The sequence below is a fragment of the Homo sapiens genome, chromosome 14, assembly GCF_000001405.40.
Source record: "Homo sapiens chromosome 14, GRCh38.p14 Primary Assembly".
NCBI classification, from domain to species: Eukaryota; Metazoa; Chordata; class Mammalia; order Primates; family Hominidae; genus Homo; species Homo sapiens.
Window position 1 is genome coordinate 35,714,292 of NC_000014.9, and position 15,973 is coordinate 35,730,264.

General features: G+C 36.0%; 1 protein-coding gene across 24 annotated transcripts in view; it reads right to left on the minus strand.

The window, feature by feature from the left end:
* Positions 1-15,973, minus strand: part of RALGAPA1 (Ral GTPase activating protein catalytic subunit alpha 1) — a 270,940-nt gene that overhangs the window by 175,936 nt on the left and 79,031 nt on the right. For 21 of the 24 annotated variants that reach the window (XR_007063998.1, NM_194301.4, NM_001346246.2 and 18 more), the window contains exons 13-16: positions 14,071-14,219; positions 10,733-10,862; positions 8,736-8,973; positions 7,397-7,558 (exon numbers count right to left, since the gene is read on the minus strand). Coding sequence is in view for 20 of the 24 variants with exons in the window: in NM_194301.4 (NP_919277.2) it covers positions 7,397-7,558; positions 8,736-8,973; positions 10,733-10,862; positions 14,071-14,219 (679 nt within the window). In the remaining 4 variants the exon portion in view is untranslated. Of the gene's footprint in view, positions 1-1,415; positions 2,899-7,396; positions 7,559-8,735; positions 8,974-10,732; positions 10,863-14,070; positions 14,220-15,973 lie in introns of those variants that run through there. The other 3 variants (XM_017021146.2, XM_024449523.2, XM_005267498.5) reach the window with 3 other exon arrangements.

The window sequence follows — 15,973 nt, forward strand, 5'->3', positions numbered from 1 at the left end:
CTTAATATTCGTATTTTGATAAACAATAGCCATCCTAGTGGGTGGGTGTAATGTGGCATCTTACTGTGATTTTCATTTGCATTTCTCTGATAGCTAGTGTTTCTGAGCATGTGCTTATTGGCCATTTGTGTATCTTCTTTAGAGAAATGTCCATTCAAATCCTTTGTCCATTTTTAATTGGGTTGTCTTTTTACCTTATATTTTTAAAGTCTAAAGTTAATGCAATAACACCAGCTCTCTACCTCACCCTGAACAAGATAAGGATTTGCGAATATTTATACTCTCACCAAACTCTTCCTGAACTATATGTTATGAATGCCCTGTATTTAAATTCTACCCTTCATTTTAATTCCAAAATTACTATATTCAGATAATATCTCTTTAGATTTACCTACACATTTACGACTTTCTTTGATCATTTATCCTTCTTGCATCTCGGACTTTAATTCTGGGGTAATTTTTTTTCCTGACATATTCTTTTAGAAGTTATTTCATGAAGGTCAATCCATAGCAAAGTATTTTAAGCTTTTGTCTTTGTTTTACCCTCCATTTGAAAGTTTGGTCAGTACACAATTCTATAATGATAGTTATTTTTCCTTAGCACTTTGAAGATATTATCATGCTGTTCAGTCTTCCATTGTCAGTGCTGAGAACACTGTTTTCAGCATAACTGTTTTTCTCTGGCAGATTATGCATTTTTTCTCTTTGCAGTCTTTATGCTCTTTTCTTTGTCTTTCCATTCTGCTATGTCACTGCAGTGTGTTTAAGTACGGGCTTCTACTTACTCATTTGGTATATTATGTTCTTCTGTTTCTATAGACTCATAGCTTTAATAAATTCTCTGTCATTCTTGAAATACTGCCTCTCCTTCATTCTCTCCTTCTGGTATTCCAACTAGACACATCAGACCCTCTCATCCTGTTCTACAAATTTCTTACCCTCTCCTTCACATTTCCCGTCTCAATGTCCTGGGTAATTTCCTCAAATTTCTAATCCAAGTCACTGATTCTCTCTTTATTTATATCTTATGTGTTGCTTAATATTGTTTTTTTTTCTTTCAGGAATTATGTTTTTATTTCTCAAAGTTCTATTTGATTCTTTTTAATCATTTTAATGAGCTTATCATTTTCCTCTTCAAACATTTCAAACATGGTTATTTTATAGTCTGGTTATTTATTTATTTATTCCATAATATTTATTCCAATATTAGGGATTAAAATCTTAAGGAATCTAAATTTTCTCTCTCTTTTTTGCTAACTCATTTACATAATTTGTTTCCATGTTTACTGAATAATCTTTGTGAACTCATATTTGGTTGATTCTAATCTGTGGAATTTCTGGAGGCCTAACTGAGAGTGAATTACTCCAGAGGTAATTTGTGTTTGCTTGTACAACTGTCAGGAAGCATTACTGACCTGAAATTAACTTGTATCCTTCTCAAGATAACCAATTTAACATGGAAGTCTTCAATTCAGTCATCCAACCTTGAAGCTTGCTCAAGTCTCAGTCTGAATCCCAGAAGTGATTATCAGCAATTTGCTTCAAGATCATCCCACTTTTCCAGTGTGCTTACTGCTCATCACTCCATTTTCCACTCATAGTTTTATTTTGGTCAAGGAAATGAGTAAGAAGAGTCTTAGAGGTTTCTCTATTTGCAAACCAGTGGTACGACGAAATGCTAGCAAGAATATCTAATAGCTCCAGAATATCAAGTTCACTATGTTGCTGGCAATACGAGTCATGTAATGACTTTTTAAAAAGCCCCTTTCTTCCCAATTTTTTATTAAGAAAATTTTCAAATGTAGAAAAAATTAAAAGATGGTGAGGCATGGTGGCTCATGCCTATAATCCCAGCACTTTGGGAGGCCGAGGAGGGTGGATCACTTGAGGTCAGGAGTTCAAGACCAGCCTGGTCAACATGGTGAAACCCCTTCTCACTAAAAATACAAAAATTAGCTAGGCGTGGTGGTGTGCGCCTATAGTCCCAGCTACTCTACTTGGGAGGCTGAGGCAGGAGAATCACTTGAACCCAGGAGGCGGAGGTTGCAGTGAGCTGAGATCGCACCACTGCACTCCAGCCTGGGTGACAGAGTGAGACTCCGTCTCAAAAAAAAAAAAAAAAAAAAAAAGACTATTGCAATGTAAACAGGTATACCTCCCCTAAATATTTCAGGATTCATCTACAGGTAAGATCATCCTTCTATATACCATTATCACACCTAAGAAAATTATATACCATTATATACCTATATACCATTATCACACCTAAGAAAATTAACAAAAATTCCATAATATCATCTGATATTCAATCCATATTCAAAGTTACCAAGATATCCCCAAAATAATTTTTATGTTTTTCAAACCAGGATTCCATGGGAGTTCATATATTGCATTTGGTTATTGTCTCTTGAGCCTAAAACAGACCCCACCTCAACTTTTTAAAAATGATACTGTGTTTTTGAAGAGGCTAGACCAGTTGTCTCATAATATGTACTACCTTCTAATTTTAATTATTTTCTCTTGGGGTCATTTAATTTGTTCTTCTATCTCCTATATATACTATAAACTAGAAGTTAGGTATATAGGCTTGATTCCAGGTCCCTCCATTGTAAAGGTATATTTACCCTTTGCAAATATAAATAATCTGTAAGAGAATCCTTGGCAACAAGTGAATATCCTCTTCCCAAGCAATCCTTTACACATTAATGTTTTTGATATCTACTAATGATCCTTGCTTAAATCTATTAAGGCTACAAAGGTTCCTCTCTTTAGAGGGCAAATTAATTTCATATCCTACAGACTTAACCTATAGATATACTTGCATATATGCACAAAATATAGAAGAATACATAAGTATATTCTATACCATTTTTTTTGAGACGGAGTTTCGCTCTTGTTGCCCAAGCTGGAGTGCAATGGTGCGATCTCGGCCCACTGCAACCTCTGCCTCCCGGGTTCAAGCTATTCTCCTGCCTCAGCCTCCCGAGTAGCTGGGATTACAGGCACAGGCTACCACGCTGGCTAATTTTTTGTATTTTTAGTAGAAATGGGATTTCACCATATTAGCCAGATGGTCTTGAACACCTGACCTCAGGTGATCCGCCCGCCTCGGCCTCCCAAAGTTCTGGGATTACAGGCGTGAGCCACTGCGCCCAGCCTATTCTACACCATTTTTAATAGCACAAAATTATAAAATGTATATTCATCTTCAGGACATAGGTTAAATTTTATAGTACTTCCACGTAATTATGATACAGGAAGTTCCAACTTATTTTATTTTTTTTTTGGAGACAAGAGTCTCGCTCTGCCTAGTGCAGTGGTACAATCTTGGCTCACTGCAACCTCCACCTCCTGGTTCAAGCAAATCTTGTACCTCAGCCTCCTGAGTAGCTGGGACTAGGGACTACAGGCGTGTACTACAACGGTCAGCTAATTTTTGTATTTTTAGTAGAGACGGGGTTTTACCATGTTGTCCAGGCTGGTCTCAAACCCCTGGCCTCAAGTGATCCTCCTGCCTTGGCCTCCCAAAATGCTGGGATTACAGGTGTGAGCCACTGTGCCTGGCCAACATTTTTTTGATATATAATAATCTTTAAGATATATCACTATAGCTTGACTTTATCTCCTAACGCTCTCTTCTTTCCTTACTCCTCCTCAAACACTCAAAAGCCCTAGAGCATATTCCTAGCTCTGGGACTTTTATTTTTCCTTCTGCCTGGAATGCGCTTTCTCCATTCAGGTCTTTGTTCTTATAGGATAGAATAAGCTTTCCCTGACCTCCCTACTTAAAACAGTCGTCCTATGTCCTTAGCTCTAACACTTTCTATTCCTTTAACCTGATTGACTTTTCTTCATACCTTTACTAACTCCTGACATGTTTATTGGTTTATTTGCTTATTATATTTCTTCCCCAACACTAGAATTGTCAGCTCCAGTGGAATTTACTTGCTTTGTTCACAACTATATCCTTAATGCATAGAACAGCAATTCCATAGTGAGTACTTAAAGGAATTTTTTTTCATTCACATATGTAAAGCCATGATTCACAAGATTTTATATGTTATGCTATAAGCCTGTATCGACATAAAGTATCTTTAGGATTCTCAAGAAACTGGTAATAATGGTTGCCTCTAGTGAGGTGAAATGGGAAGGTGGGGAATAGTGATGAGGGAGACTTACTACAATGTATACACTTAATCACAGTCTAAATTTTTAACCATGTACGTTCATGAAAAACATAAAGGCTGGGCACAGAGGCTCACACCTGTAATCCTAGTACTTTGGGAGGCCGAGGTGGGCGGATCACCTAAAGTCAGGAGTTCGACACCAGCCTGGCCAACATGGTGAAACTCCGTGTCCACTAAAAATACAAAAATTAGCCAGGCGTGGTGGCATGTGTCTGTAGTCCCAGCTACTTGGGAGGCTGAGGCAGGAGAATTGCCTGAACCTAGAAGTGGAGGTTGCAGTGAGCTGAGATCATGCCAGCCTGGACAACAGAGCAAGACTCCATCTCAAAAAATAAATAAATAAATAACTATAAAAAAATGGATTTTTTTTTTTTTTTTGGAAACAGGGTCTCACTTTGTCATCCAGGCTGAAGTGCAGTGGTGTGATCTCAGCTTACTGCTGCCTCAACCTCCTGGGCTCAAGAGATCTTCCCACCTCAGTCCTCCAAGTAGCTGGCACTACGGGCATGCGCCACCACACCCAGCTAATTTTTTTGTATTTTTTTGGTAGAGACAGAGTTTCACCATGTTGCCCAGGCTGGAAAAATTAATGTTAAACCCAGCACTTTGGGAGGCCAAGGTGGGTGGATCACTTGAGGTCAGGAGCTCAAGACAAGCCTGGCCAACAGGGTGAAATCCCATCTCTACTAAAAATACAAAATTAGCTGGGTGTGGTGGCATATGCCTGTAATCCCAGCTACTGGAGGCTGAGTCAGGAGAATCACTTGAACCCAGGAGGCAGAGGTTACAGTGAGCTGGGATTGCACCTCTGCACTCTAGTTTGGGTGACTGTCTCAGAAAGAAAAAAAAGTAATGTTAAAAAATTTTAAAAATATGCCCAAAGAACATCCTAATTTAATCTGCTGCCCCTTTTTATAACTCCATGCAGCTACCTTTCTTAACAAATTTTTAAGGATTTAACTTTGATAGGCTTGTTCGGTTCAGACAAAACTGTTTTGACATTAGTACAACTAGAAAGTAATCACTATGAGCTATGAAGTCAGCATGAATATTTTACTCATTACATGCTATGTAAAAGACTACAAAGATACACGCCAACATGTTAACAATGATTACTTCTCATTAGACAGCTAATGGGTCTTTATGCTTCCCTAAATGTAACTTTCCACACTAAGCATAAATTACTTCTATAATCAGAAAAAAATGTACTTTTAAAAAAAGATTTGATTTAAATAAAATAAAAATTTAGACTTAAAAGAACAATTTCTTCTTTTTTTTTGAGACAGAGTCGCCCTCTGTCGCTCCCTCTGTCGCTCCCTCTGTCGCTCCAGGCTTGATCTCTGCCCACTGCAACCTCTGCCGCCTGGGTTCAAGCGATTCTCCTGCCTCAGCCTCCCGAGCAGCTGGGATTACAGGCACATGCCACCATGCCTGGCTAATTTTTTTTGTATTTTTACTACAGACGGGGTTTCAGCATGTTGGTCAGGCTGGTCTCGAACTCCTGACCTTGTGATCTGCCCGCCTTGGCCTCCCAAAGTGCTGGGATTACAGGCGTAAGCCACCGCGCCCGGCCAACAATTCTTAATACACAAATATTTTCTATAATTGTGACATTAATATAAAGTGAAGGAAGGCATTTCAAATATAATCATTTTCCTTAGGATTCCAAAAAGTAATTTTATAGTAAAATTCCCATTATATTCATTTTAATACTACAATAACTTTTTCCCTTATATCTTGTCTTATTCTTCTAGCTTGGAATATACAATTAATGTAATTCTATGCTTATTTTAAAAGCATAAGACAATTCTGAATATGTGATCCTTTTAAAGGATTTTACATTAACCATGTATTTTAATTCTTTTAAAATCTTTAATCTCTTATTTTCTTTCTAGTTGTTTCTTCCTTTCAAACCATAATTCTTAACACTTTAGAACCTAATTTTTTATACAAGATGTATCCTTACAATAATGGCTTTACATTTCTTTAAAATTAATAGTGTTTTTCACTGATTACCATTAAATACGGATACATTCCCATGGAAAATTCTCTTTTCATAGAAGCATTGATTGTAAACCTTGGAATAACTTCAGGCAATTTTGTTTCAGGAATGAGCAGTATTATCATTCCCACTACACAGATGAAGTACTTAAAAAGCCTAGAAAAGGCTGGGTGCCATGGCTCACACCTGTGATCTCAGCACTTTGAGAGGCCAAAGTGGGAGGACTGCTTAAGGCCAGGAACTGAAGACCAGCCTGGGCAACATAGCAAGACCCTGTCTCTATGAAAAATAAAGTTAGCCTGGCATGGTGGCAGGCGCCTGTAGTCCTAGCTACTCAAGAGGCTCAGGGGAGGCTGAGGTAGGATCACTTTGAGCCCAGGAGTCCAGGGCTGCAGTGAGCTATGATCCAACAAAGGCAACAGAGCGAGATCTCTCTTTTAAAAAAAGCCTAGAAACGTTTGGTAGACTGTCCAAGGTTACCTACCTATTTAGTGATCAAAGAGAGTAAGAAAAGAGATTAGGAAAAAGCCCTCCTTATTTCTCATTGCAGTGCTTTTTCTACTATAATTCAGCCAAGTTTATAAACCTCTGAGAAAAAGGAATGAGATGGTAGCTAATTCCACAGTACACTGTGCGATTTTATGCCCAGAAATTGTTCCCAACGTTGTTCCTTTGCTGCTATTTCCCAGGTTATAGAACTTTCTTCCATTTTTTGTTAAAAGCAGCAAGAAACTCAGTAACAGACTCCATGTTGGCCTTAGCTGTCTGCCAGCAGAGAAAATGAGATTCTTGTTGGAAGTCTGTGAAACTAATCTACTATATAATTGTAGCACAGGAAATTAGCTACCCTAATTTTCCATATTTGTGAGTAAATTCCTTCAATGAAACCACATCAGTTAATGCTTGAGTTCTGTAAAGTGAATCACAGTTCTACTTCTTCAATTCCGTAAAATAACATTTTAATATTAGGGCTCTCTACAGTAAAATAAACCACATAAAAATAATGTCCAATAAATCTTAATAGCATAAAGGGATAACAGCCTATCACTAGACTCTGAGTACTTCTGGAAAAAAGGCTTTGCTATAGCAGTTTTTCATTTCACAACAATAATCAACTGGTAAGAAAAATTTATATTGATATAAATTGTTACCAAGGACTATAAATGTAGTGCCCTGTACCATTCTCATGATTTTCAAGAGTACATACCGACAGTTTTTTGCCGTACTATACTCCTCGCCTTTTCGGTTCCTGGAGAACCAGTGGTTGTTGCACTCCTCTGTCTCATTGGGGCTTGGCCAGGCTGATCACGACTCCATCCTCTAGAAAATGACTTGTCAACTGAAACTTTCTGAAATTCATGTCCAACTCCTGGAAATGTAGATTTTCAATCTCAATATACTGTTACTTGATCAATAATATCTTCAAGTTATGCGTGCTACCTTGCCTCAGAGTCTTAGGTTTGCTCACATAAATTATAAAGTAATAAGACAAAACGCTGTGTACTGTAAGGCTTTTATGAGCTTCACTTTATGTATAAATCATATTCCAAAACTGATGCGCAATTTTAAAATTACACCATTAGCAATAAGCTATTAGAAATTCTCTGCCACCCACTTGCTTTGGAATAAAAATGAAACATTTAGACAAGAAAAAAAAGACAGGAAAGGTGCTAAACAAAACCCATCCTGTGGTGATGATTACTAAATCTCTAATCTGCCAATAATAGCCACTTGGGAAATATAGTCCAGGAAAAAGTAGTTTGAGTACATAATACCCTGGACAAAAGTATGAAATGTGACTTAGATGTAAACTCTAGCTAGCAACTAATATTTAACAATGCAAAATACTGGCTGGGAGTAGTAACTCACACCTGTAATCCCAGCACTTTGGGAGGTGGAGGTGGGCAGATTGTTTGAGCCCAGGAGTTCAAGACTAGCCTGGGCAACATGGTGAAACCATGTCTCTATAAGAAATACAAACAAAAAAATTTAGCTGAGCATGGTGGCCTGTAGTCCCAGCTACTTGGGAAGCTGAAGGTGGGGATCCCTTGAGCCTGGGAGGTCGAGGCTGCAGTGAGCCATGACTGTGCTACTATACTCTAGCCTAGGAAACAGAGTGAGGCCCTGTCTCAGAAAAAAAAAAAAAGCAAAATCCTAACTAACTGAGGATTTTAAAAACATATATTAATGATATAATCATTAGGCTACTGCCCCACTCCCTTTTAACATTAGACAGATACATATTTCATGTCTAGGGAATGTTTGCTTTTAGTTAAAACTAAGTAAGTGCTTTCAAAAACAATTTTTAAAATAATTATTGTACACATTTTAAATAGAGTAACATTAAACCACCTTCTCAGTTCTAAGAAAAAATTGCTTACGATAAAAAGGAATGGTATTTTATACATTTTCATTTTGTTTAATTCTTAAAAATAAAATATTTAAGATTCTACTTATTTCACCCTCACCCCTCTCCCTGGAATGGTTTTCCCTGACTCAATTATTTAAACAAATTTATATAGAGCATCTCTATGAACAATTCTTACCTTTCCCTTTGTGCTTTTTTTGTTTCTGTTCACTCAGCTTATCCAATGGTAAATCACTGAGATCCAAACTATATAAATTCCTAGCTAAAACTTTAGTTAATGTCTCCATAGTCAGTGACCACTCAGTGGCCAACTCTTCCCAATAGGTCAGCGATGACAATACTGACAGTAAGTCATCCCAAAGTTCTCGGGAGATGTACACATTTAGGTTTGCTTTGATCCAGGCAACTATAAGGGTCTATAAAGACAAATATCAGAAATAACAATAAAATGTGTTTAGTGTGTGACTTCAAAATCAGACATTCAATTCTTAAAAAAATTACTTAAAAACAAGCAACATTTAAAATCGCATGCTTTTTTTAATAGATAATACTACTTGTAAAAGCAATTCATGCAATCATTAGAATCTACTATAAATTTCATTTCAACAACTGCCAACTCCCAACACCCAGCAATCTAAAAAGAAATCTCCCTAAATTTATAACTGTCTCTTATGCTGCATTATATTAATGTTAAATAAATGCTATTTAAAAAATAGTCTCCATACTTTTAAGTGTTGAAAATGTTGAGTTACTGAACTAAAAAGCCAAAACCTACATTCCCAAATTAAGGATGGAAATCACTAACTACAACTCGAAAATGTTTTTTAATAATATAAAGAAACAACATACTAGAGACATATTTAACTTAATGAAATGTAGTTTTGAAAATGTATACATAAACTAAAGGTTGAAATTAAATATTTTTAAACACAACAAATTAAAAGCATTCTGTAATAAATCTGATCACAGGATAAAAAAATTCATAAAAGGACAGAAATGGATTAGCCAGTAAGTACCCCCTGAGATTTTGTGGATTTCTACTAAAGATATGTCCTCTGATTGAAGAAACAAGTCATAAAATAACGATTCTCAAAAGCTTAATTCTACAACATTTAGAAAGGAATTCACATAAATTTATACCTGAAATGTAAAGATGAAAATGAACAGAGTTTAGGTACAGAACTATAGTAACTACTGACCTCCCAATCTATCTTTAATTTAATACAAAAAAAAGACTACTTTAATACTCAGACTATAAAAAAGTTGTTTCACATAGCAAGATAAAATTTTATCTTCCTGTAGCTCCCATCATCGGGTTAGCTCTAACAATGGAGAAACCTGAATGAAAAAACAAAAAATGGCTAATGAAGTTAAGAGGAGTTTAGATGATACATGTAGCTGGTTTTAAAGGACTGTTCAACACCAGCATATAATTTTAGGTAAATGGCTAATATATGAAAAAAAACTCCAACCAATTTAAATGGCTACTCTTGGCCAAGAATTAGATCTGAGACAGCTTTTACCCTTGACATTAAGAATCATGTATTTGTATTTCATGTATCATCTTAAAAAAATTTTTTGTTTTCTTTTTTTCAAAGAATCCATAATACATTTAAAGTCAGCACTCTATCCTCAGATTTAAAAAACACAATATAGAATTCCTGTGTAATCAAACTACCACCAACTGAGAAGGGAGGATAATAAAGTCTTATTAAAAAAAAGCATGATAAGAATCAATCTTAATTATTTATTACTTTTTCATTATTACAGAATAACATAAAAAGACAGTTTTTCCTAGCAGTCCCAGAGATACGGAAACTCATAAAGCAGTCAGGTCATTATCCCTAAAACACTGCCAGGTTTTTGCAACCACATATTATGTATACTACACAAGAGATAAAATAAATATCATTAGCCTGTTTGTTCACAGACCTGATATTACCTCCACTCTTATACTAGGTTTTATGTATGGCAAATAGCTTATTTAGATGAGCAACTTTTAAGTTAGCTCTACAAAAGATCCCTTAATAAATAAGAAATAATCTCTAATTTAAAACTTTTTTTTCTGGTAACAAGTTCAGGGTTCAATGAATTTTAAAAAACAAACAAACAACAAAACAAAACAAAACAACCCATATCTATCCAGCTATTCATCTATTTATTTATTTTTATTGCCTGGAAAAGTGGTCCTGCAAGTCGACCTGCCAAGGTCATATTTTTTTTCCCTTGGAACTGTAGAAAAGCTTGTGATGGCATCTTCAGTACAGATTCCGTGACTCTGAGCAACACAAGCAGCATCTGTTCCCTTAAAATAAAAAGACTGATTAATGTTTCCTTCTTGCATATGTTTGCATTTGGTTAATAGTTAACTTTCAAATACATACTTCTTATAAAAATTCAAATATTAAACATCTTTGAAAGACAATTTCAAATGTTTAGAGTTCCTTAAATATTAAAAATTAAAATTACATTTTATGTATCTACATCAATCATTTAAAATCATTTATCGGCCACAATATCCTCTCATCAAATAAAAACCTATTCAAAAGCTGAGGAACTGGAAGTGATAATGTGGAGAATGCTCCCGTCTCCGCAACCACAAATTAAGTAGTGACCTTAAGGAGCTATCTGAAGAACACTCATCTACACAATATAGTTCTACCCAGATGGAATCCAATCAAATCCATCTTTATAATATGGAGAATAACTATATCAAATCAATCAAATCCATCTTTATAATATGTTGAGTAACTACATATTGAGAATCATACCAATCTCAATTTCAGAAATTATATGACATCTTAATTAATAGATCACAAAGAAGCCTGGGCAACACAGCAAGCCTTGTCTCTCAAAAAAAAAAAAAAATTAGCTGGGTGTGGTGGCACATGCCTATAGTCTCAGCTACTCAGGAGGCTGAGGTGGGCGAATCACTTAAGCCTAGGAGTTTGAGTCTGCAGTGAGCTTGATAATTAATCAAGGGCCATTACTCTATTGTTTCTTTCCACTCTTTTCATTATGCAGTTTTTTAATCTTTTTTTGTCTGTACTGCAAGTTAAACCAATTCTATTATTATCCTTACCTTGCCTCCTTCTCTTAGATGCTTATTATTAAAACCATAAAACTACCTTATTTACACTGATACTTCAAAACTTGATTCAACCACATATGAAAAAGAGGCTAAAGGGACTTTCAGTTGGGTGTATCAGCCCAATTCTCTATCACAGCCTCCTCCCCTCTGGTTATTTTGCAAGTCCATTCCAGGCATAGCGATACGTGGAACAGTCACTGTGAGAAATGTGGCAGGGGCGGCAACAGATCCTAGATCTAGATGTCATGGTTCTTCTGAGAAGTCAGAGTAGAATCAAACAGAAAACTATCACTACATTAAAAATATCCTGGACGTATTAGCAAACAAATGCATGCATTTATTCACGGAATAAAAATCAAAGGTGCCACATTTGTAACCTTATGCTTCTAGCTTAGCTACATGAAATAAAAAGCTATTTGAAATCAACTACAAATGCAATAAAGCATAGATTTTCCAAATAAATCTTATTTGCTGTCAAACCATAACTCACTCATAAATCATACAATATTTTCACTTTGTAATACAATAAAAATGATTTTAATTAATAAAGTTTTATAAATTCTGGCCAGGTGTGGTGGCTCACACCTGTAATCCCAGTACTTTGGGAGGTGGTCAAGGCAGGTGGATCGCTTCAGCCCAGGAGCTCAAGAACAGCCTGGGCAACAAGGCGAAACATCTCTCTCTATATAAAAATTCAATGTAAAATATATGAAAAACCTCCCAAAATGCTATTACTTCAAGGGAAGTTTAAAAATTAAGAAAAAAATTCTAAAATTGTTTTCTACATAGCAAGTCAGTCACTATAATCTGGCTCATCAATGATTCAAAGTATACAGAAAGAAAAAAAAGGACTAACAAGATAATTGTCCAATGTAGTTATTGGCTAATAATAACTTGGGCTCTGAAGTCAGAAAAACCGTAGTTCAAATCTCTGTCCACTGCTTAACAGCTGTGTGAACAAGGACAAGTTACTTAACTTCCCAGTATTATCTGTATCATAGGGTGCTGTAAGAATTAAGTAAGAAAATATGTGTAAAGTGCTTAGAAAGCTATGTGGCACAAATAAGTGTCCCAAATGTGTTAATAATAATAACTACATCTATATGCCATTCTATTAATACTGTTAGTAAAGAATCTTTTCAAAATATAAAGCCATTTTATACATAAATTAGGCATATGCTTTGACTAAGTAGTCTTCTTTCTTAAAAAAAATTAGGAGTACTTAGTCAAAGCATATACCTAATTTATGTTTTGCCACATGTAGAGGAAAATAAAATACATATAAGAATGTTCATTGTCCTCTCTTTGCCTCAAAACAGAGAGAAATAACTACATGTCCATCAGTACAGGACTGGTTAAGAAAATTATGGCATATATATATATATATATATATATATATATATATATAGTATAATACTATATAACTGTGTGTGTGGTTTGATGAGCTAGATATTCACCAAAGGACAAACATCACTACTATCTCTAGAGAGTGAACCTTTGAGCTTTTTTCTTTTTTAAACTTTTCTTTGTTTGAATTTTATGATAAACATTTCATTTTTACAAAAACTGCAGAACCACTTTCCCATCTCCCCAAAAGGTCTATTTTTCCAATCAATTAGACAACTATTTATAGAGCACCAATGATATATAATGTACTATACTAAGAAATGTAGGAAATATAAAAATAAGAAAACCAGTAAATACCTTCTAGGGGTTCTCAGTTCTATGGTGGTAAACAGATATTTACACAAGTATTTTAGGGATCAAGACAGTTTTCACAAGAACTATACAGAAGTACAAATATAGAATGGAAACAAGTGAAGAAAAAATTTAAGTAAGGATATGTAGAAACAGGAAGGTGAATCTAAGGGACAGTTACGGTGACAACAGGAAAAACAGCAGAATTAGACATTCTAAAGGAAAGTTCAGAAGGTGCCCAGGGAAGAACAACTTGATAAAGCTGGGAAGCAGGATCTTATCCTGAAAGCTGGAGGTTAGACTTCAGACAGGAAAAGTAGGCAGGGCCTGACGGTATACAGCTCTGAATGCCAGATTAAGGATTCAGGCATTCACATATTCAGTCAATCATCAACTTATTCATTAACTCATTCACACACAAGTAAACTTCATTTACTCATATACATTTGTATGCATGTATTCTTTCCTTAGGGGTTGAGGAGGATGAGGCCATTATATGCTCACTTCAGGAAGACAGTCCAAGGGGTCTTGCGGAAGTCCGAACAAAGTTTCAGATAAGCTGAAAGGAACTATTGCCACTATGATTAATTTTATATTTATTCAATAATAGGAGCCTCTATAATACTGTAAACAAACCCTCTTCACAGACACTATTTCTCTAAAAATTACTATACCTGTGTACACAATAAAAACACATAGACATAAAGGATAAAAATTTTTTTACCAAGTCTTTTTGTCCATTGATACTTGTACAACCATGTACCGATAAATGTTAAGAATGCGTTTACACATATCTGTGTGTTCATCCAGAAGATTTTTTATTTCATTTGCAGGTTCAAGAAGAAATATATTTGATGAGTTTATAATAAACACCTAAGACAAAAGAAATCATTAGCTATTCACAAAGGAATTTCAATGGCAAATTTCTTATTCAAAGAGAAACAGACACTGATCACACTGTGGGTAAATTCTACAAGCTTAATAACTGAAACATAAACTCATTAAACCTACCTATTTTTATGTTTACCTAGACAAATATAAAGTTAATAGTAGGTACCCAAAGAAAATAAACCAAGTGCAAACAACAGTATTTCTTTCTTTTTTTTTTTTTTCGAGACAGAGTCTTGTTTAGTCACCCAGGCTGGAATGCAGCGGTATGATTTCGGCTCACTGCAACCTCTGCCTCCTAGGTTCAACAGATTCTCTTGCCTCAGCCTCCCAAGTAGCTGGGATTACAGGCATGTGTGCCACCATGCCAGGCTAATTTTTGTATTTTTACTAGAGGTAGGGTTTCACTATACTGGCCAGGCTGGTCTCAAACTCCTGGCCTCAAGTGATCTGCCCACCTTGGCTTCCCAAATTGCTGCGATTACAGGTGTGAGCCACTGCACCTGGCCTAAAACACAGTACTTCTAAACTGAGAAGCTTTAATAACTCTATTGCTATAATAAATTGAAAAAAAAATAAATACACATAGTTTAGAATAAAAGATGACACCTAAATCAGGAAGAATTTTCTGAATGAGTTGTTCAAAACATTTTATCCTCTTTTTCTTATTTATTTTTATGTTTGTATATCTGTTTTGGTGACAGAAGATTCCATTAGAAAAATTACTATATCCCATCAAAATATTAAAATGGAAAAAACTGATTATCACTATGTATGCAGAAAAAGCATTCAACACTTATGACTGAAAACAATTTTTAGCAAACTAAGAAAAAAGCACACATTCATTGAAATAAAAAAGAGCATTTATAAAAAAGTATAAAAAAAAGTATATACATAGTAATAGAACTTGAGAAATACCACAAAAAGCCAAGAATAAGACAAGGGTGCTCACTCTCATCCCATGGATCTGAGGGGCCCAGTAAGCATAAAAGGAAGAGTGGGTGGTAGAGAATAAGTATCAGCAAACTGAAAAGGAAAAGACAAATGGAGCTACGTTCCTGTCTAGGAGAATAGTATTTCAGAAAAAGAGGAAAATCAAGTTTAAAGGACCTGAGGTGAGAGCCTGCCTAACATGCTTGAGGAACGGCAAGGAGTACAGAGTGAAGTAAACCAGGGGAAAAGCAGTGGAAGATGATGCTGAAAAACAGCCAGAGTATGTGGAGCAGAGATTCTCACACTACCTGTAGTGAAAGAACAGGTCTTCCCCAGCCCCAAACTTTTGCAGATCAATCCTATTTTAAAATACAATGAAAAATGAACAGAGATTGGGAGAGAGATCATCATGGCTGACGGGAAGCAGAACTAAATTGCAGCTCCGACTTGGACAGACAGAGCAGCGTGTGGAGGCTCATATCATGAATTTTACCTCCAGAACAACTGCAAGAACAAACACCAGGAATCCCAAAAGGACCCACAGACCTCTGAAGGAAGCAAACTGCTCCTGCAGGACCCAGGAGACACTCCAAATGCTGTGAGTGCCCAAACGGCAGAAGTGGGAAATGGAGATCCTTCTCTCCCGAAAACACACACCCATTGGGGAAACTGAAGGTCTAGTTTGTGGGAGAAATTTCCGACCTTACCTGGAGCGGAGTAAATTTAGAGAGCCGAGGGAAATACAGGGGTAGAGGAAGCAGTAGGAAATGCCCTGGGAGCTTGCTGGGTCCCCAGGCAGGCCATTC